General features: G+C 40.7%; 1 protein-coding gene across 5 annotated transcripts in view; it reads right to left on the bottom strand.

Moving 5' to 3' along the window:
• NDUFS1 (NADH:ubiquinone oxidoreductase core subunit S1) overlaps positions 1–20420 on the bottom strand; it is a 44628-nt gene that overhangs the window by 10430 nt on the left and 13778 nt on the right. For all 5 annotated transcript variants that reach the window (NM_001199982.2, NM_001199983.2, NM_001199981.2 and 2 more), the window contains 10 exons: positions 19646–19780; positions 18772–18886; positions 17440–17585; positions 16695–16823; positions 13239–13368; positions 7699–7859; positions 4842–4996; positions 2551–2726; positions 1464–1598; positions 1293–1365 (listed from right to left, as the gene is read on the bottom strand). In NM_001199982.2, the coding sequence (NP_001186911.1) occupies positions 1293–1365; positions 1464–1598; positions 2551–2726; positions 4842–4996; positions 7699–7859; positions 13239–13368; positions 16695–16823; positions 17440–17585; positions 18772–18886; positions 19646–19780 (1355 nt within the window). The remainder of the gene's footprint in view (positions 1–1292; positions 1366–1463; positions 1599–2550; positions 2727–4841; positions 4997–7698; positions 7860–13238; positions 13369–16694; positions 16824–17439; positions 17586–18771; positions 18887–19645; positions 19781–20420) is intronic.

Raw genomic sequence — 20420 nt, forward strand, 5'->3', positions numbered from 1 at the left:
AGTCCAGGAGTTTGAGATCTGCCTGGGTAACATGGCGAAACCCCATCTCTACAAAAAATACAAAAATTAGCTGGATGTGGTGGTATGCGCCTATAGTCCTAGCTACCGAGGAGGCTGAGGTGGGAGGATCACTTCAGCTCAGGAGGCAGAGGTTGCAGCAAGCCAAGATTGTGCCACTGCACTTCAGCCTGGGTGACAGAGTAAAATCTCATCTCAAAAATTATACACACACACACACACACACACGTACATGTAAACAGTAATAATTACATATAAATAACAATAGTTAATTAATATAATATATATGTGTATAATGCATATGTATGTCCCTGGAGGAAGAGTGACTAAAATGTTAAAAATAATTATAGTTATTTCTTGATAGTGGGAGGGTAGTGATTTTTCTTTTTTTAAAAAAAAAAAAACTTTTAGGTTCAGGGGTACATGTGAAGGCTTTTTACACCAGTAAACTCATGTCACAGGGATTTGTTGTACAGAATACTTCATCACCGAGGAATTAAGCCCAGTACCCAAGACTTATCTTTTCTGCACCTCTCCCTCCTCCCACTCTCCACTCTCAAGTAGACTACAGTGTCTGTTGTTTCCTTCTTTGTGTTCATAAGTTCGCAGATAAATACCATAGAAGTGATTTTTTGTTGTGCTTTTGAGCATAGGTATTATTTTACAATGAAGGTAATCTTTATTATCTAACTAAAATACTTATTTAAAAAATCTTAGATACAAACTATATAAAAAAATTAAGAGTTCTATGTGCTTTTAGATAGAAAATTAGTCAAAATAATCTATCAACTATTAACTACCTCATAACCTAGATGTTGTATCAACTGTTCTAAGAATCTGCAATAAACAAGTTTCAGTTTGTCTGCATTCCTTAAAAACATTCCTAACAATTTACATCAGAAGCACTGTTTAACATGTTTCACATTTAAATGTTTTGATTCTTCCACCTATAATTCTCAGAAAAACCTGCAGTTATTTGCCACTTTGGAAAATTCACCATAAATTGCTACACAGTGACTTTCCTTACAACAGCAAAATTTTATATTTAAAATCTATTAATTGCTTGGATTTTCAAACTTTGCTTACATTTCAGAAACAAAAAAACTAGAGTAGAATCAGAAAATATGCTTACGTTAGTTCCAATGTTTGAAAACCTTCAAAGATTAAGAATTGCAAACACTATCAATCACAAATTGGAATTATAACACCAAATGAGGTGATCTGATTACTTCTTACCTTTCGTATTTGGCAGAGTCATGTTGACAATTACATACCTGTCATGTAGAAGTCTTTTATAGTTAGCTGAGGTGGAACAAGTGGGTCAGCAAGAAGCTGCTGGTTCACTAGCTGCACAAAAAAGAAGAGATCAACAATAATATGGAAAACTAGTACTGTTACACCAGTAGATACAACATTATGAAAACTGCTCATAGGCGAGCTGTTACCTTTGAGAGCTCATTTGCTTGCTGGAAGTAATTAGCCCCTTCAATATCATCATATCGAACAAGATTAGGAGAGACTTCTTCCAATCTGTTCCTTACTTGATCCAGAGTATCATATGGAAGAGTCATTCCAGCAATCTACAACATGTCAGGTCCCCAAAAACAACAAAAAGCTTTAATACTTAAAAATATCAAATAATAGATAATTGTAACTATGGTGAAATAATGCAGCACTACTGAAAAACCTATTGGTGTCCATTAGTAGACATACATTTATGAAGGAAGCAGTTAAGCAGGGAACACAAATATCAAAAATTCTAATTCATTCACAGCTGTCAGTACATTAGTGACTCTATGAAATGAAGAGACAATACTATGCTAAATCCAAATGTTTTTGCTAACCTGTTATTAAAATACATAAAGTTTACAATGTGTTATTATTTTAAAAGTCAGGATGCTTACTTTTACATCAATAAAGAGCTAACAGATGTATTTTCAGGCAAAAGACAAGTCAACAATTTTCAACAATAAAAGCACCAATTTCAGGCCAGGTGCAGTGGCTCACACCTGTAATCCCAGCACTTCGGGAGACCGAGGTGGGAGGACTGCTTGAGGCCCAGGAGTTCAAGACCAGCCTGGCCAACATGGCGAAACCCCATCTCTACTAAAAATATAAAAATTAGCCAGGCTTGGTGGTACATGCGTGTAATCCCAGTTACTCAGGAAGCTTGCGCCCGGGAGGTGGAGGTTGCAGTAAGCTGAGATCACGCCACTGCACTCCAGCCTGGGCAACAGAGAAAAACTCTGTCTCAAAAATAAATAAAATAAAATAAAAGCACCAATTTCAAGTTCCTTTATTTTTTAAGAGACAGGGTCTTGCTCTGTCCCTCAGGCTGGAGTGCAGCGGTGCAATGAGAGCTCACTGTAACCTTGAATTCCTGTTTCTGAATACATGTTTTCTATAGAAATTATTCAAATCATCTCTGCATTTCAGACTGGCATCTTCCTTGACTTTGAAAATCATTCTAACAGGCTAAAATATCAAATATGCCTTTAGTAGCATCACTAAGAAATGACTCAGAAATTATACCTCAGAGAGTGCTCTTATAATTTTCCAGTCTTCTCTTGCCAAGCCAGGAGGTGTCACTGCTACCTTAGTCTGCTGAGCTCTACCCTCAGTGTTGACATATGTAGCAGACTTCTCTGTGTAAGCAGCTCCTGGGAGAATAACATCAGCTATGGGAGCCCCAACATCACCATGATGTCCTGCACAAAGATGGAAAATGGTAAACCAAAATTTTATTAAAAACTGATTTTCTACTGTACATGAAGATAGTATATATCATTTTAAATCCCATTTTGTAAAGTCACAAAAGTTTTTAAAACTAAAATGAAACAGTAGTGAAGTAATAAAAATTAAAGCCCACCTCAACCCTAATTCAACTCCCTTCCCAAAGAAAATTATTATTATTTTTTTGAGATGGAGTCTCGCTCTGTCGCCCAGGCTGGAGTGCAGTGGTGCAATCTTGGCTCACAGCAAGCTCTGCCTCCTGGGTTCATGCCATTCTTCTGTCTCAGCCTCCCAAGTAGCTGGGACTACAGGTGCCTGCCACCACACTCAGCTAATTTTTTGTATTTTTAGTAGAGACAGGGTTTCACCGTGTTTAGCCAGGATGGTCTTGATCTCCTGACCTTGTGATCCACCCGCCTCAGCCTCCCAAAGTGCTGGGATTACAGGCATGAGCCACCGCGCCCGGCCCCAAAGAAAATTATTGTTAAAGCATTTGGGGGCCAGGTGTGGTGGCTCATGCCTGTGATCCCAGCACTTTGGGAGGCCAAGGTGGACAGATGACTTGAGGCCAGGAGTTTGTGTCCAGCCTGGCCAACATGGCAAAACTGCATCTCTACTAAAAATACAAAAAAATTAGCCCAATGTGGTGGTGTGTGCCTGTAATCCCAGCTACTCAAGAGGGCTGAGGCATGAGAATCGTTTGAACCCGTGAGGCTGGGGCTGCAGTGAGCCGAGATCACACCACTGCACTCCAGCCTGGGTGACAGAGTGAGACTCTATCTCAAAAAAAAAAATTTTTTTTTTAAAGAAAAAAAAGTATCTTCTCAGACTATTTTATGCAAATACAAATATGTATAATATAATACACACATATAAAATAGCCAAGTAAGTATACTGATGCTTACAAAGTAGAACTGCTCAGATGTACCAGTTTGTGAAATTTGGTAAAGTAGACTGAAATGGGGGAGGATGCAAAGACAGGAATATGACAGTAATACTGAAAAAGGCATAAACGAAAAACTACAGAAAAATTTGGAAACACTGCCACCCATTAATAACAACTGGCAGAAGAAAAAAGTTATTCAGAAAAGAAGACCTTTAGAAACATCTGAATCAAGTGTAAGAAAATCGTAGAATAATATATAGTTTAATATAATTTGTGCACATTTGTATATGCGTATGAAGATGTTATGAAGTACGCATATCAAAACTCAACAATGATTATTTCTTAAAGGACTAAAAACAGGATTTTAGTTTATTTTGTTTTTAATTTTATTAAAAATAACATTTTTTATTGCTCTGTCACCCAGGCTGGAGTGCAGTGACGTGATCATGGCTCATTGCAGCCTCAAACTCCTGAACTCAAGTGATCCTCCCACCTCAGCCTCCTAAGTAGCTGGGATCACAGACATGCAGCAACACGCCTAGCTAATTTTTAAATTTTTTGTAGAAACAGGGTCTCCCTATGTTGCCCAGACTGGTCTAGAACTCCTAGGCTCAACAAATCCTCCTGCCTCAGCCTCTCAAAGTGGTGGGATTACAGCATGAGCCACGGCACCCAAGGAACAGGATTTAGTTCATATATTTTGGTTTAACTTTTTTTTTTTTTTTGAGAGGGAATGTCACTCTTATTGCCTAGGCTGGAGTACAATGGCATGATCTTGGCTCACTGCAACCTCTGCCTCCCAGGTTCAAGTGATTCTCCTGTCTTAGCCTCCCGAGTAGCTGGGATTACAGGCGCCCGCCACCACGCTCGGCTAATTTTTATGTTTTTAGTACAGACAGGGTTTTACCATGTTGGTCAGGCTGGTCTTGAACTCCTGACCTCAGGTGATCCACCCGCACTGGCCTCCCAAAGTGCTGGGATTACAGGTGTGAGCCACCGCACCCGGCAGGTAATAATTCTTAAAAGCAGTATCAATTATGTAACTAATAACACTTGTGGTTTGTTTAAAAAAAAAGGAGGAGGAGTGGGGGAGGCAAAATTCTCAAATGGAAAACATTCAGTTCACTAAATATATTACTAAATGGTTTCTAACATACATAATGTACTACTCTCTTTTGTTTCTGGTGTCACAGGTGATACTTACCTTGATAAATAATGAAACAATCCTTTGGCAAATCCTGTCGTGTGATACAACCTCCATCTGCTCCCAGGAGAAACAGCACCTTGGGAGGGTTCTTCCGAATTGCTTCCACCCCAGGCTTATAGCCAAGGTCCAAAGCAGCTACTTGACTTGCAATCCTGCAAAGCAATTATGGAATTTTACCATAACTGCAGTATTTTCAATGTAAAAAATTAAATGTGATTTTTGGAATAATTTCCTTTCAACAATGTCAAAAAACCCATTTTATTTTATTTTATTTTTTTCTCGGCGATAGAGTCTCACTTTGTCGCCCAGGCTGGAGCGCAGTGGCGTGATCTCGGCTCACTGTAACCTCTGCCTCCTGGATTCAAGCGATTCTCCTTCTTCAGCCTCCCAAGTAGCTGGGACTACAGGCACATGCCACCACACCCGGCTAATTTTTGTATTTTCAGTAGAGATGGGGTTTCACCATGTTGGCCAGGCTGGTCTTGAACTCTTGACCTCAGGTGATCCACCTGTCTTGGCCTCCCAAAGTGCTGGGATTACGGGTGTGAGCCACCACACCTGGCCAAAAAATCCCATTCTTACCCATTTAAAATAGATGCTAAAACCAGAAACAGCAGTCTTTTACTGTTTTGAGAATGGCAACCAAAGAAATGTCAGATTCTTAGGACGCTCTGTCTCTCCATGACATAGTATTGAATGAAATAATTCTAGAAATTTTATGCCAACTGTAATTGCTTTAAGTCTGATTCTTATTCAATAAAGTAAGACATAAAACATGATAAGTCATATATATTCAAAGAAGAAAAATCAGATTATTTCAAAAATGAAAAGGGAGAAATTGAAAACCACTCATTAAACTGTAATTCAGCAAAAACCATAATGAGAAAACCAAAACCTTATAGAAATTTTTTCTACGAATATATATTACTCTTATAAGCACAAAATAATCTTTTAAAGAAGAGGTCTGGAATAAATATACTTTGAATAGCAGGGTTGTTGTTTTGGTTTAGCTTGGTATTTGTTAACTATCTAGAAATAGTAGCCATTCTGAGGACCTAAAACAAGTTGGAAGCATGCTTCGAAAGGCTCAGAAATGGTTATCCTGTGTGCCCCAATAGTTCTACTTTTAGAAATATATCCTAAGAAGATAATTTCAAGTGCAAAGGTATCTGTGAATCACTGTATTATTTAAGAAGTTAAAAACTACCATCAACATACATGTTAAAAAGAAGAAAATGGCTAAAAAAATTTATAGTATATTCATGATATCAATTAGCCATTAACATTTTTATTTACAAACAATTTCTAGAAAAAAATTTCTGACCATAGTAGGAAATTCTCATTTGGCAATGAAAACCTATTGAAACCAGGACACAAAATTGTATTCACAGTATAATTTCACCTATGTAACTAAAAAATATTACACAGCTGTGAGGTGAAGTGGCTCGTATCTGTAATCCCAGCACTTTGGGAGGCCGAGGGTGGCAGATCACCTGAGGTCAGGAGTTTGAGACCAGCCTGGCGAACATGGTGAAATCCCATCTCTACTAAAAACAAAAAAATTAGGCCGGGCGTGGTGGCTCACACCTGTAATCCCAGCACTTTGGAAGGCTGAGGTGGGCAGATCGCCTGAGGTCAGGAGATCGAGACCATCCTGGCTAACACGGTGAAACCCAGTCTCTACTAAAAATACAAAAAATTAGCCTGGCATAGTGGCACGCGCCTGTAGTCCCAGCTACTCAGGAGGCTGAGGCAGGAGAATTGCTTGAACTTCAGGGATGGAGGTTGCAGTGAGCCGAGATCGTGCCACTGTGCTCCAGCCTGGGTGACAGAGCAATACTTCATCTCAAAAATAATAATAATAATAATAATAAAATAAAAAAATTAGCCAGGTGTGGTGGCACATGCCAATAGTCCCAGCTTACTTGGGAGGCTGAGGCAGGAGGATCGCTTGAACCTGGGAGGGGGAGGCTGCAGTAAGCCAAGATCATGCCACTGTACTTCAGATTGGGCAACAGAGTGAGACTCTGGTCTCAAAAAAATAAAATAAAATATTACGCAGGGTAAAGAAAAAAACTAGAAGAAAATGCATGAAAATAGTAATAATTATCTACACATTGTAGAATAAGGATCAGTTCCATTTCTGCACATATCTGTCTCTTTTCAACTTACCTAAATTAAACCTGCATTATTGATATGGTTTGAAATAAAGGCTAGGTGCAGTGGCTCACGCTTATAATCCCAGCAGTTTGGGAGGCTGAGGCAGAAGTATCGCCTGAGCCCAGGAGTTTGAGATCAACCTGGGCAACATAGTGAGACTTTATCTCTACAAAAACAAAAAATTAGCTGGGCATGTGGCATGCGCCTGTAGCTTCAGCCATTTAATACTTGGGAGGCAGGGGTGGGAGGATCGCTGGAGCTCAGGAAGTCAGGGCTGCAGTGGACTATGATCATGCCACTGTACTGAGACCCTGTCTCAAAACAAAAAGCCAAATAATTAAAAAGAAAAAAAAAGAAAGAAAGAAATCCTTTAGCTGAATTCTCATATTAGCTTACATTTTTATCATTTAATTAAAGAACTTGTTGCAATTTTTGAACCAAGGTGTAACTAATATAACAATTTTTATAGTACTTCACTTTTTTTCTCAACACTCACTGTTATTTCAAATATTTTAAATATTCCTTATCATCTCGGGCTCTTCTCACACAGAGTAAAGGTCTATATTTCACATGTGTAACTGGGATAATGTTGCTAAATGTTGTTTGTAAATTAAATTTAACAGTGTATCAGGAACACATACATATACACAACATTACTTGAATTTATAGTATATAAAGCAATTACTCAACAAACCTATGAAGGATATTCATAACTTTCCAATCACCAGTAACACCACTAGTCATCCGAATCTTTTGTGCAATGCTAGAAACAGCTGCAAGAATTGCTGCTCCATCATTTCTTTGGAGTGCAGAACTGCCTAAAACCACCATTGGTTTTTTAGCTTCCTTTAGGACCTATTTAAAAAAAAAAACAACTTTGATTTTAAAATATTACAAGTAAGCTGAACACCAAACCATATTTGCCTCTATAATATAGGTTGTCCCAAGTCTTAGGTGTAACATGAATGTCTTCAATTTGTTAGCCCAACATACAGACACACATATACAACCAGATTTAGTTTAATCCAAAGCATCTTGCCAATGCTACTGTGAAATATGCCTGAGTATCAGCTAAAACACGTTTTCTAAAAGTAATTATTCAGAATAAAAAGCCTAGCAAATTATCCTGTGGTCAGAATAACTATGGGCAGGTCCCAGAAAAATTGGGGAACTTCTCTCCAGAGATTCAGATGTTAATTAAAGAATAGGAAAAACTATGCTTAAGTATCATGCCTACTATCTTCCATCTACTTACCATGCCACAGATAGGGAGGAGGAGGCAGGGAAAGCAATGATCACCAGATCACAATGTTAAATACCTACAATTTTAAGGCTTTGTTTTAAACCATAGTAACTCTAAATGACAAAAACTAGGAGAATGCATCCCAAGAGTAAAGGAAACTACAAATTTCACAGAAGATGGGCAAATAAGATGTAAAGTTATAGGCTGGGCACGGTGGCTCACGCCTGTAATCCCAACACTTTGGGAGGCTGAGGTGGGTGGATCACTTGAGGACAGGAGTTCGAGACCAGCCTGGCCAACACGGCGAAACCCCGTCTCTACTAAAAATACAAAAAAATTAACCAGGTGCGGTGTTATGTACCTGTAGCCCCAGCTACACAGGAGGCTGAGGCACGAGAATTGCTTGAACCTGGGAGGCGGAGGTTGCAGTGGGCCAAGATTGTGCCACTGCACTCCGTCTGGGCAACAGAGTGAGACTCTGTCTCAAAAACAAAACAAAACAAAACGTGTAAAGTTATAGAATACACGTCTCATTCTCCCACCCATCCTTTGTGTCATTCTTCAATAAATAGCTGGCCACAATCAAAGAATCAGCATGGAAATTATGCTGATATATTATAAAGAGGAATACATTAATCACAAGAGGAATTTGCCAAGGAAATGTGAATAGTTGAGAGAAATAGTTTTTAATAGTCTCAAAGACAATGAAAAATAACACACTCTTTCTCACTTAAAAACTCAAAGAAGCAACACTGTAGAGTATTATATAGTAAGGAGATTTTCATCATTGAATTCAGGATAGAACTGGAAGACAAACAAGTAATAAATACCATTCCAGAAACAATAAAAAACTAAACAGGCCAGGTGCAGTGGCTCAGGCCTGTAATCGCAACACTCTGGGAGGCCGAAGTGGGTGGATGACTTGAGCCCACAGGTTCAAGTACAGCCTGGGCAACGTGGCAAAACCTCGTCTCTACAAAAAATTGGCCAGGCATGGTGGTGTGCACCTGTGGTCCCAGTGGTGGCTGCAGTGAGCCAAGACAGCACCATTGCACTCCAGCATGGGTGACAGAGCCAGACCATCTCAAAAACAAAAAAAAAAGACAGAAAAGAAAGAAAACATGATTAAATACAAGGACAGGAAAGACAGGGTACAGGATACAAAACAAATGGAAAAAGGAAAAAAACACAGATATGAAAAACCAGGCAAGGTTGGCTCATGCTTGTAATCCCAACACTTTAGAAGGCTGAGGTGGGAGAATTGCTTGAGGCCAGGAGTTTGAGGCCAGACTGGGCATCACAATGAGCCCCATCTATACAAAAAAATATAAAAATTAGCTGGGCATGGTGGTGTATGCCTGCAGACCCAGCTACAGGGGAGGCTTAGGTGGGAGGACTGCTTAAGCCCAGGAGTTTGAGGCTACAGTCAGCTACAATTCTGCCATTGCACTGCAGCCTGGGCAACATAGTGAGACCTTAAAAATACATATATAGAAAAGAAGATTCGACAACTGCATTGTCAAGAGTTGTTTTTTTTTCTTTTGAGACAGGGTCTTACTCTGTTGCCCAGGCTGGAGTGCAGTGGCATGATCTCGGCTCACTGTGACCTCCACCTCCCAGGTTCAAGCTATTATCTTGCCTCAGCCTCCCAAGTAGCTGAGATTACTGGCACACGCCACCATGCCAAGCAAATTGGGGTTTTTTTGTATTTTTTAGTAGAGATAGGGTTTCACCATTTTGCCCAGGCTGGTCTTGCTCCTGACCTCAGGTGATTTGCCTGCATTGGCTTCCCAAAGTGCTGGGATTACAGGTGTGAGCCACCACATCAAGAGTTCTTAATGAAGGTAACAGAATTAATGAAAAATGTATTTAAATCTATTATAGAACAAAACGTTCTCAGGCCAGGCACAGTGGCTCACGCCTGTAATCCCAGTACTTTGGGAGGCCGACACGGGCAGATCACGAGGTCAGGAGATTGAGACCATCCTGGCCAACATGGTGAAACCCTGTCTCTACTAAAAATAAAAAAATTAGCTGGGCATGGTGGCGTGCGCCTGTAGTCCCAGGTACTCGGGAGGCTGAGGCAAGAATCGCTTGAACCTGGCAGACTGAGGTTGCAGTGAGCCGAGATCATGCCACCGTACTGCACTCCAGCCTGGGGACACAGCAAGACTCTGTCTCAAAAAAAAAAGAAAAAAGAAAAAAAGAAAAGGAAACGTTCTCTCAAAATAGTAGTCACCTATCACATGGGGATGGGAATTAGAGAGGAGAAAGGAAGACTTTTCACGGAATATTTTTTAATATTTTTGATCTTTTAATCATAATTTTTTTTCTATTCAAAATAAACAAGTTGTGCTTTGCTACTTCATCCTCTTGCACATCACCTTCTTCCCTACACCTGAGACTGTAAGTGAAGCAACCATCTTGGAACCACAAGGAGAAGGACACACACAATCACATGTGAGCAAGCAAATGCACTGACGACAGCAAAGCAGGAAGGCAGGCTCTCTTTGATGATATGCTTGGACAACTGCATCAGCTTTTTTTTTTTTTTCTTTCTTCTTTTTGTTTTTTTGAGATGGAGTCTCACTCTGTCACCCAGGCTGGAGTCCAATGGCGCAATCTCAGCTCACTGCAACCTCTGCCTCCTGGGTTCAAGTGATTCTCTTGCCCCAGCCTCTCAAGTAGCTGGGATTACAGGCCACTACAACCGGCTAATTTTTGTATTTTTTTTTTTTTAAGCAGAAGCGGGGTTTCACCATGGTGGTCAGGCTGGTCTCAAACTCCTGACCTTGTGATCCGCCCGCCTCAGCCTCCCAAAGTACTGGAATTACAGGCATGAGCCACCGCACCCAGCCTGCATCAGCTTTCAATGTGCCTACCTCCAGACCCCCTTGTGTGACAAACAGAAACTCCTTAGTTTTTAGTTGTTGGTTTTTTTTTTGTTTTTTTTTTTTTGAGATGGAGTCTCGCTCTGTCGCCCAGGCTGGAGTGCAGTGGCATGATCTGAGCTCACTGCAACCTCCGTCTTCTGGGTTCAAGCGATTCTCCACCCTCAGGCTCCCGAGTAGCTGGGATTACAGGTGCCCATCACCATACCCAGCTAATTTTTGTATTTTTAGTAGAGACGGGGTTTAACCATGTTGGCCAGGCTGGTCTCGAACTCCTGACCTCAGGTGATCCATACACCTTGGCCTCCCAAAGTGCTGGGATTACAGGTGTGAGCCACTGCACCTGGCCGGAAATTCCTTAGTTTCTTTCTTTTTTTCTTTTTTTTTTGAGACAGGGTTTCACTCCTGTTGCCCAGGCTGGAGTGCAATGGTGCAATCTTGGCTCACCACAACCTCCACCTCTCAGGTTCAAGCGATTCTCCTGCCTCAGCCTCCTGAGTAGCTGGGATTATGCATGCACCACCATGCCCAGCTAATTATGTATTTTTAATAGAGACGGAGTTTCTCCATGTTGGTCAGGCTGGTCTCAAACTCCCGACCTCAGGTGATCCACCCACCTCAGCCTCCCAAAGTGCTGGGATTACAGATGTGAGCCACCATGCCCGGCCAACTCCTTAGTTTTTTAATCACCTCCACCACCACACATATATTCTAAAATAAAGAGAACCTTGTATCTTTAGACTGAAAGTACATTCTGTCCTATAGTCTTATAGTGATGTCTTCACCTTTAAGACATATTTTGGTGAAGTTACTGAATTTCAAGAATGATAATCAGAATCCCAGCACTTTGGGAGGCCAAGGCGAGTGGACCACAAAGTCAGGAGTTGGAGACCAGCCTGGCCAATATGGTGAAACCCCGTCTCTACTAAAAATACAAAAATTAGCCAGGTGTGGTGGTGCGTGCCTGTAGTCCCAGCTACTCGGGAGGCTAAGGCAGGAGAATGAACCCGGGAGGCAGAGGTTGCAATGAGCCAAGATCGTGCCACTGCACTCCAGCCTGGGTGACAGAGCGAGACTTCGTCTCCCCGCCAAGGAAAAAGAAAAAAAAAGATAATCAGGACAGGGTTTGGGGCGGGGCGGAGGAATAAAGTTTACATGCTTCTTCACTAACAAAAGGCAGTGTCTATAAAGCTCAGAAAGGGGGGAAAAAAAAGTCTGACCCTGGAATTTCACATCCTGACAAGCTGTCTCTTCAGGAATAGACATTCTCAAGCAAGCAAGAACTCAAGGAATACAGGCAACCATGAGCCACCTTTGGGGAAAAGCAAAACAATAAAGCCAACAACAAAATGAATTAAAGAAAGAACTCAAATGAAAAAAACATGTACCTCAGAAACAAAAATAGAAGGACTGGTAAAATTTTAAGGAATAACTCCTTTTGTAATAAAGAAAGATTTAAATGAAGTTAAAAGTGCAATTCTTTCAGGTTTACTTTGATTTCTTTTCAGATAATTTCAAGAAAATTAAACTCTGGCAAATAAAAACTGCATGTACAGTATGATCTCATTTTTGTTTGACTATTCATCCATCTTGCTTTGCTCTCTACATAAATGGAGAGATTATGATGTTTTATCAATACCTGTTTTGGGGTGGTGGAATTTTAGGTAATGTTTTACTTTCTTCCTCATGTTCTTTTCTGTATTGGTGTAAGTTTTTTTGGGGGTGGGACAGAGTCTCGCTCTGTTGCCCAGGCTGGAGTGCAGTGGCACAATCTTGGCTCACTGCAACCTCCGCCTCCTGGGTTCAAGCAATTCTCCTGCTTCAGCCTCCCAAGTAGCTGATACTACAGGCGCACGCTAACTTTGGTTTGTATTTTAGTAGAGACAGGGTTTCACCGTGTTGCCCAGTCTGGTCTTGAACTCCTGACCTCAGGTGATCCACCTGCCTCGGACTCCCAAAGTGCTGGGATTACAGGCGTGAGCCACCGCGCCCAACCTGGTGTAAGTTTTAACACTTACATAGGATTATTACAAAAACAGTTAAGTTTAAATAATAATAATTAAAAATCAACAAGAGTAGATACACATAAGTTGAGAGCACCTGGCTAAATGGATGGCTTCCCGAAGCAATGTCTTGAAGAATTTTGGGGGAGTCTCCCAGGTGGTCATATGTGTAAGTGAGGTCCACTGGACTGCCTATAAGGGCCACTTTTAAGTCATTATGCAGCCAGCTGAAATAAAAACAACATTTTAAGAAGTAAATAACTAAGCTAAGCAGTTACTGGTCTCATCAATCCTAAGTGATACATCTATTTACTATTACAAAATGTTAAAAGCACAGACAATACATTTAACAGATATGATTTACTACGTACCTTTCAAAACAGTGTTGCAAAAAGGCATGCCAAGGCAATTCAGTGATTTAATTTGCTGTGTAGAAATGCTATCCAGACCAGGCGCAGTGGCTCACACCTGTAAATCCCAACACTTTAGGAGGCTAAGGCAGGTGGATTAATTGAGGTCAGGAGTTTGAAACCAGCCTGACCAACATGGTGAAACCCCATCTCTTCTAAAAATACAGTATTAGCTGGACATGGTAGCGCATGCCTGTAGTCCCAGCTACTTGGGAGGCTGAGGCAGGAGAATCGCTTGAACCCAGGAGGTAGAGGTTGCAGCGAGCTGAGATCGGGCCACTGCACTCCAGCCTGGGTAACAAGAGCAAAACTCCACCTCAAAATAAAAAATTTAAAAAAAAAAAAAAGAAAGAAATGCTAGTAAGCCAGCTATAAAAGTTATTTATTTATTAATTTATTTATTTTTGAGAGAGAGTCTCACTCTGTCACCCAGGCTGGAGTGCTGTGGCGCAATCTCGACTCACTGCAAGCTCCACCTCCCGGGTTCCAGCAATTTTCCTGCCTCACCCTCCGGAGTAGCTGGGATTACAGGCACCTGCCTCTACGCCCAGCTAATTTTTGTATTTTTAGTAGAAGGCAGGCTTTCACCATGTTGGCCAGACTGGTCTTGAACTCCTGACCTCAGGTGATCCACCCGCCTCAGCCTCCCAGAGTGCTGGGATTATAAGCATGAGCCACTGTGCCCGGCCTAAAAAAATTTTAATTTTAGAATTAATCTGTAATTTTTATTTTGCAGTATTTACATGACAGGGTCAATTATCTCTTAATTATCCATTAAGGATATTTAAACATTTTCATAATTCATGAAAATATACCATGTTATTGACATTTATTCTCCACAGCAGGGAACTATGGCTCCAGTTCCTCCAAAAAGTCATAAGTGCAATGACTATATAGTCTGGTTTGTCTGAGATAATGCTTTTTTTTTTCCCTGTTATCCTGATGTAATTATTAATTCCCTCTTTCACTCCCGTAGTTTAGACAATAAACTATATGGTTACCCTCTTTATAAATCTCTAAGATGTAAATTTAAAAGACAGAAAGCATGCTAGAAAATAACTGGCTTGTGTTCTTAAAAAAAAAAAAAAAAAAAAGTCAAAAAAGGGACCAGAAGAGTCATGAAACTAATTGTAATGTATGACTCCAGAATGGATCCTGAGGAAACAAAAAAATTGCTATAAAAGAAATTATGAAAAAAAAAATCAATGAAATTTAAATATAAACGTAGGCTTATGAAATAATATTGTATCAAAACTAAATTTCTGGCTGGATGCAGTGGCTTATGTCTATTACTCCCAGCACTTTCAGAGGCCAAGGCAGGAGGAACACTTGAGCTCAGGAGTTCAAGACCAGCCTGGGCAACATAGGGAGATCCTGTCTCTACAAAAGGTATTTTAAAAAATTAGCTGGGCATGGTGGTGCATGCCTGCAGTCCCAGCTACTCAGGAGGTTGTGGTGGGAGCATCATTTGAGCCCAGGAGGTCAAGGCTGCAGTGAGGTGTGATCATGCTAATATACCTTAGCCTGTGTGGCAGAGCAAGACCCCTAACACAAAAACTAGCTGGACGTGGTGGCATATGCCTGTATTCCCAGCTACTCAGGCAGCTGAGGCAGGAGAATTGCTTGAACCCAGGAGGCAGAGGATACAGTGACCCGAAACTGAGATCTCAGAAACCAAAAAAACTAAATTTCTTTTTTTTGAGATGGAGTGTTGCTCTTGTTGCCCAGGCTGGAGTACAGTGGCATGATCTTGGCTCACCACAACCTTCGCTTCCCAGGTTCAAGCGATTCTTCTGCCTCAGCCTCCCAAGTAGCTGGGATTACAGGCATGCGCCACCATGCCCGGCTAATTTTGTATTTTTAGTAGAGATGGGTTTCTCCATGTTGGTCAGGCTGGTCTCAAACTCCTGACCTCAGGTGATCCACCTGCCTCAGCCTCCCAAAGTACTGGGACTACAAGCGTGAGCCACCACGCCCAGCCTAAATTTCTTCATTATTTAAGAGAATGCTCCTTGTTCTCAGGAAATCCACGCTGAGAATTTAGGTATAAAAGGGCACCATGTCCACCAGAAACTTCCAAATGATTCAGAAAATTAGATTCACACACACATATATATGTAGTGTGTATATATATATATATATATATACACACACACTGAGAATCATAATACAAATATGGCAAGATGTTAACATCAGTTAATCTATGTGAACAATATACAAAATGGTATACAAAGACCATTTCAAGCATCTTGAATTATTTCAAAATAAAAAGCTAATAAAGTAAATTTAAAAGACTCGCAAGGAGAGGAGAAAACGGACCTATTAGAAATTGTTGCAACTGGGCGTGGCAGTTCATGCCTGTAATCCCAGTACTTTGGGAGGCCAAGGTGGGAGGATGGCCTGAACCCAGGAGCTCGAGACTAGCCTGGCAACATGGCAAGGCTCCATCTCTAAAAAATTAAAAAGGCCGGGCGCGGTGGCTCACACCTGTAATCCCAGCACTTTGGGAGGCTGAGGCGGGCGGATCACAAGGTCAGGAGATCGAGACCACGGTGAAACCCCGTCTCTACTAAAAATACAAAAAATAAGCTGGGTGCAGGGGCGGGCGCCTGTAGTCCCAGCTACTCGGGAGGCTGAGGCAGGAGAATGGCGTGAACCCGGGAGGCGGAGCTTGAAGTGAGCCGAGATCGCACCACTGCAATCCAGCCTGGGCGACAAAGCGAGACTCTGTCTCAAAGACAAAAAAATAAAAAATAAAAATAAAAATAATTTTTTAAAAATCTAAAAAATTAAAAAAATTAAAAAAAAAAAAAGGCTCGGTGCAGTGGCTCACACCTGAAATCCCAGCACTTTGGGAGGCTGAGGCGGGCGGATCACGAGGTCAGGAAATCGAGACCATCCTGGCTAACATGGTGAAACCCCATCTCGAGGCGGAGCTTGCAGAGCCGAGATCCTGCCACTGCACTCCAGCCTGGGTGACAGAGTGAGACTCCGTCCCACCAAAAAAAAAAAAAAAAATTGTCTTCCAGTTATCTTTTGGAGTCTCACTACCACTAACACTATTAGGAAGATGCCATTTTTCACATATAAAACAAAAAAATTACATAAATATTTTTAAACCTTGAATAAATACTATTACCAACCTCTTTCGAATTCTAGCATTAAACAGTGGTGCCTCAAAACGTGGGTTTGTACCAACCAGAAGAACAACATCTGCCTCTTCCACACCAGCAATTGTAGTATTAAGAAGATAATTGGAACGCAAATCTGTGCTAGAAATACAATATATAAAATGCAAATTTACTTTAAAATTAAGACATACAGAGAATCCATGAAATATTCTCCTATCATCAAACCCATTGCCTTCTCAAACAAAAAATTTTATGAAGTATTTCTAAATTAAATGAACATTTCAGATACTTATTTTTTTTCTCAGATAGAGTCTCACTCTGTCTCCCACGCTGGAATGCAGTGGCGTGATCCTGGCTCACTGCAACCTCCACCTCCCAGGTTCAAGCAATTCTCCTGCCTCAGCCTCCCAAGTAGCTGGAATTACAGGCGCACACCACCACGTCTGGCTAATTTTTTTGTATTTTTAGTAGAGACGGGGTTTCGCCATGTTGGCCAGGCTGGTCTCAAACTCCTGCACTTAGGCGATCTGCCTGCCTTGGCCTCCCAGAGTGCTGGGATTACAGGCGTGAGCCACTGTGCCTGAGATACTTAGTGATAAGTGGATTCCTCTATTTCCTACAACTTCTGGTTTGATCTTGGTCTATATATGAAAATAAACTGGGGGATATGTTGGAGAATCCAGGTTGTCACATTTTATACATAACTTGTAACTAAAAAAAGAAAGGAAAGCCTAGATCCTAGCTTCATATTTCTCACCCAGCTCCTGCAGTGGGGAAGACCTCTTCAGTGCATAAGGTGTCAGAGTCCACTCTATTAAGCAAATCTTTGAGAGCTACCAGGGCTTCAGCATCCACCAAGCCACCTGCAATTGCTGCCACATCTTTGCCTTGAAAACTCTGCAACTAGAAACAGATGAAAAGGGCATCACCAAGAAACCTACACGCAGCAAAGACCACAATGAAATGTTCAGAAAATAAAACAGTACTTGTTTTCAAGTACAAAAAAAGTTAACAGACTTCTGATTAAAAGTTTTACAACATGCCCAGGCACACTGGCTCATGCCTGTAATCCCAGTACTTTGGGAGGCAGAAGTGGGCGGATCACCTGCAGTCAGGACTTTAAGACCAGCCTAGCCAACATGGTGAAATCCCATCTCTACTAATAATACAAAAATCAGCTGGGCATGGTGGCATACGCCTGTATCCCCAGCTGCTCGGGAGGATGAGGCAGGAGAACTGCTTGAACCAAGGAGGCAGAGGCTGCAGTGACCCGAGATCGAGATCGCGCCACCGCACTCCAGCCTGGGCGACAACAGCAAAACTCCATCTCAAAAACACAAAAAAAGTTGTACAACAATTATTAATTAATCTAAAAGTGAAAAGCTGCAGAGGTGTTATGTGGGGCCACAGCTAATAACATCAACTTAGAAGGAAGCTGTTTTATATTTAGGAACAAAGGCACTTCAAAATGAGGTCTGGAGAATGAAGTGGAACTATAGTTACCTTAAATGCGACCTCCTCTGAAGTATCTGCCTTTCCCTCTAGTGCTTTATGTTGTCTTTCTCTAACAAGAAAACTATTCCCTCCACTTGTACTCTGGCAAGCTTATATTCATTCTCAGATTCTTCTTTAAGAATCACCTTCTGTAGGAAGGCAGCTTTTTTTTTTTTTGAGATGGAGTCTCGCTGTGTCACCCAGACTGGAGTGCAGTGGTGCGATCTCGGCTCACTGCAACCTCCAAGGAAGGCATCTTGATATGCCTGTCCTAGTTAGGCATTCCTCCTACGTGCTCTCACTCATATTACTCCTTATATAATTACTCATAGCTGCATATAATAATTGCTGAATTGTGCAACTTTCTCTACTACAAGATTGTAGGATGCAGGAATGATGTGTCTCTGGTCTTTATATCCCTTAATAGCATAATATCTAGCATATGTCCTCAGTAGATGTCTGTAAAATGGAAGGAGATTAAATCATAATCTTGGTAAAAGTAAAAAAGGGAAGAAATATACATCCCCCCCTTCATGGCAAAGATGTTTCTTGATAATCACAAACACTATTTAACACTATTTATTTCAAATTTTACCATTCCAGCTACGCGAGAGAGCGCATCCTCCCAAGAAGTATAGGTTAAAAGCCCTTTTTCATTTCTGACCATTGGCTCGGTAAGTCTTTGACGTTTTAGCCCATCATAGGCAAATCTAGAAAACAGAAATTACACCATTGTGGAATCTTGCTAAAGAAGTAACTATAATTTTCAAGTTAAATCAACAAGAAATGTTATTTAAATACAGTACTGGTTAAAGTGTCAAATATCTAAACACCTAGATACAAGTAATTATTCCAGATATTTTTAGAGATGAACTAATAGATTTTATGAACTTCACCTAAAACTAAAATACCATCTGAAAGTTTGATTTCTTCCCTTAAATCATACAAAAAAAAGTTTGATTTCTTATACTTTCAGCTAACTGAACAATCTTAAAATTACAACACAAAAAAATCTGACAGCTAAAAAAGTCAAATCATTTTTATTTACAAAGCATGAGTATCTCTAAATATTTTATCAAAATTATATTGTGCAAACTCTTCTATTCAGCTTCTTTTTCAAGCAATCATCCCACCTCGGCCTTCCAAAGTGCTGGGATTACAGGTGTGAGTCACTGCGCCCAGCCTAGCTTCTTTTCTCTAATGAACAAACTGAAATAAGTTGAGAATGTATCAATCTACTTGAATTTCTCCATGTGGGAGGAAAAAATATCTTTCTCAAAGTAAATACAATATCCAGGGATTGACCTAGGACTATTAAAGTCAGTATTATCACATTATATAAGCAACTCAGATTCCAGTAGTCTATATTCAGTAACTAATTTGCAAATATAAAAGATAATTCTTCAAAATTATTATAAAATTTCCTTTAAATAAACTGTAAAAGTTAAGGAAAACAATATAGCATATACCTGGTTTTATCAGAGATCCACTCTTCATTGATGTCCTCATGCATACGTGGCAAAATCCTCATCACTTCTCCAGTTCTTGTGCTAACCACAATATTACTTCCAACCGCATCCATTACATCAATGGATTCTGTCTTTCTGAGAAACACATACGGTGTTTACTATGGTGCTTTTGGGAATAAAGAAAGTTTCTGTTACCTGGTTTACCAAAAAATTTTTTTTACAATTAATTCCCTTTCTGAATTACTTTAAAAAATGAAGCTTAGAGGAACTGCAATTAAATAAAAGAACCCCCCACCTTTTTTTTTGCCCTGGGGTCTCACTCTGTTGCCCAGGCTACAGTGGCATGATCATAATTCACTGCAGCCTAGAACTCCTGGGCTCAAACTATCCTCTCACCACATTTTAAAAATTTTTTGTAGAGCCGGTGTCTCATTATGCTGACCAGGCTGGTCTTGAACTACTGGTCTCAAGCAATCCTCCCACCTTGGCCTCCTAAAAGCTGGGATTATAGGTGTGAGCCACTGCTCCCGGCACACCCACATTTGAACACATAAATTCCTGGCACAGTAAGGAAGGCTTTAAAACTATTATCTGACACAGAAGCTAGTTTGAAGGGGCTCCAACTAGCCAAATCTGGGACGATTCAACAAGAGGGGCAGGATTTCTGTCTATGGGAGATTAAGGAGCTCAAAAAACCTTCCCACTGAAAAGCAAAAGTAAAGCTGGCCAAAAATGACAAAACCCACCATTTCAGCAGTTTAGAAATCTAAACACA

Source organism: Homo sapiens, chromosome 2 (genome assembly GCF_000001405.40).
Source record: "Homo sapiens chromosome 2, GRCh38.p14 Primary Assembly".
Classification (NCBI taxonomy): Eukaryota; Metazoa; Chordata; class Mammalia; order Primates; family Hominidae; genus Homo; species Homo sapiens.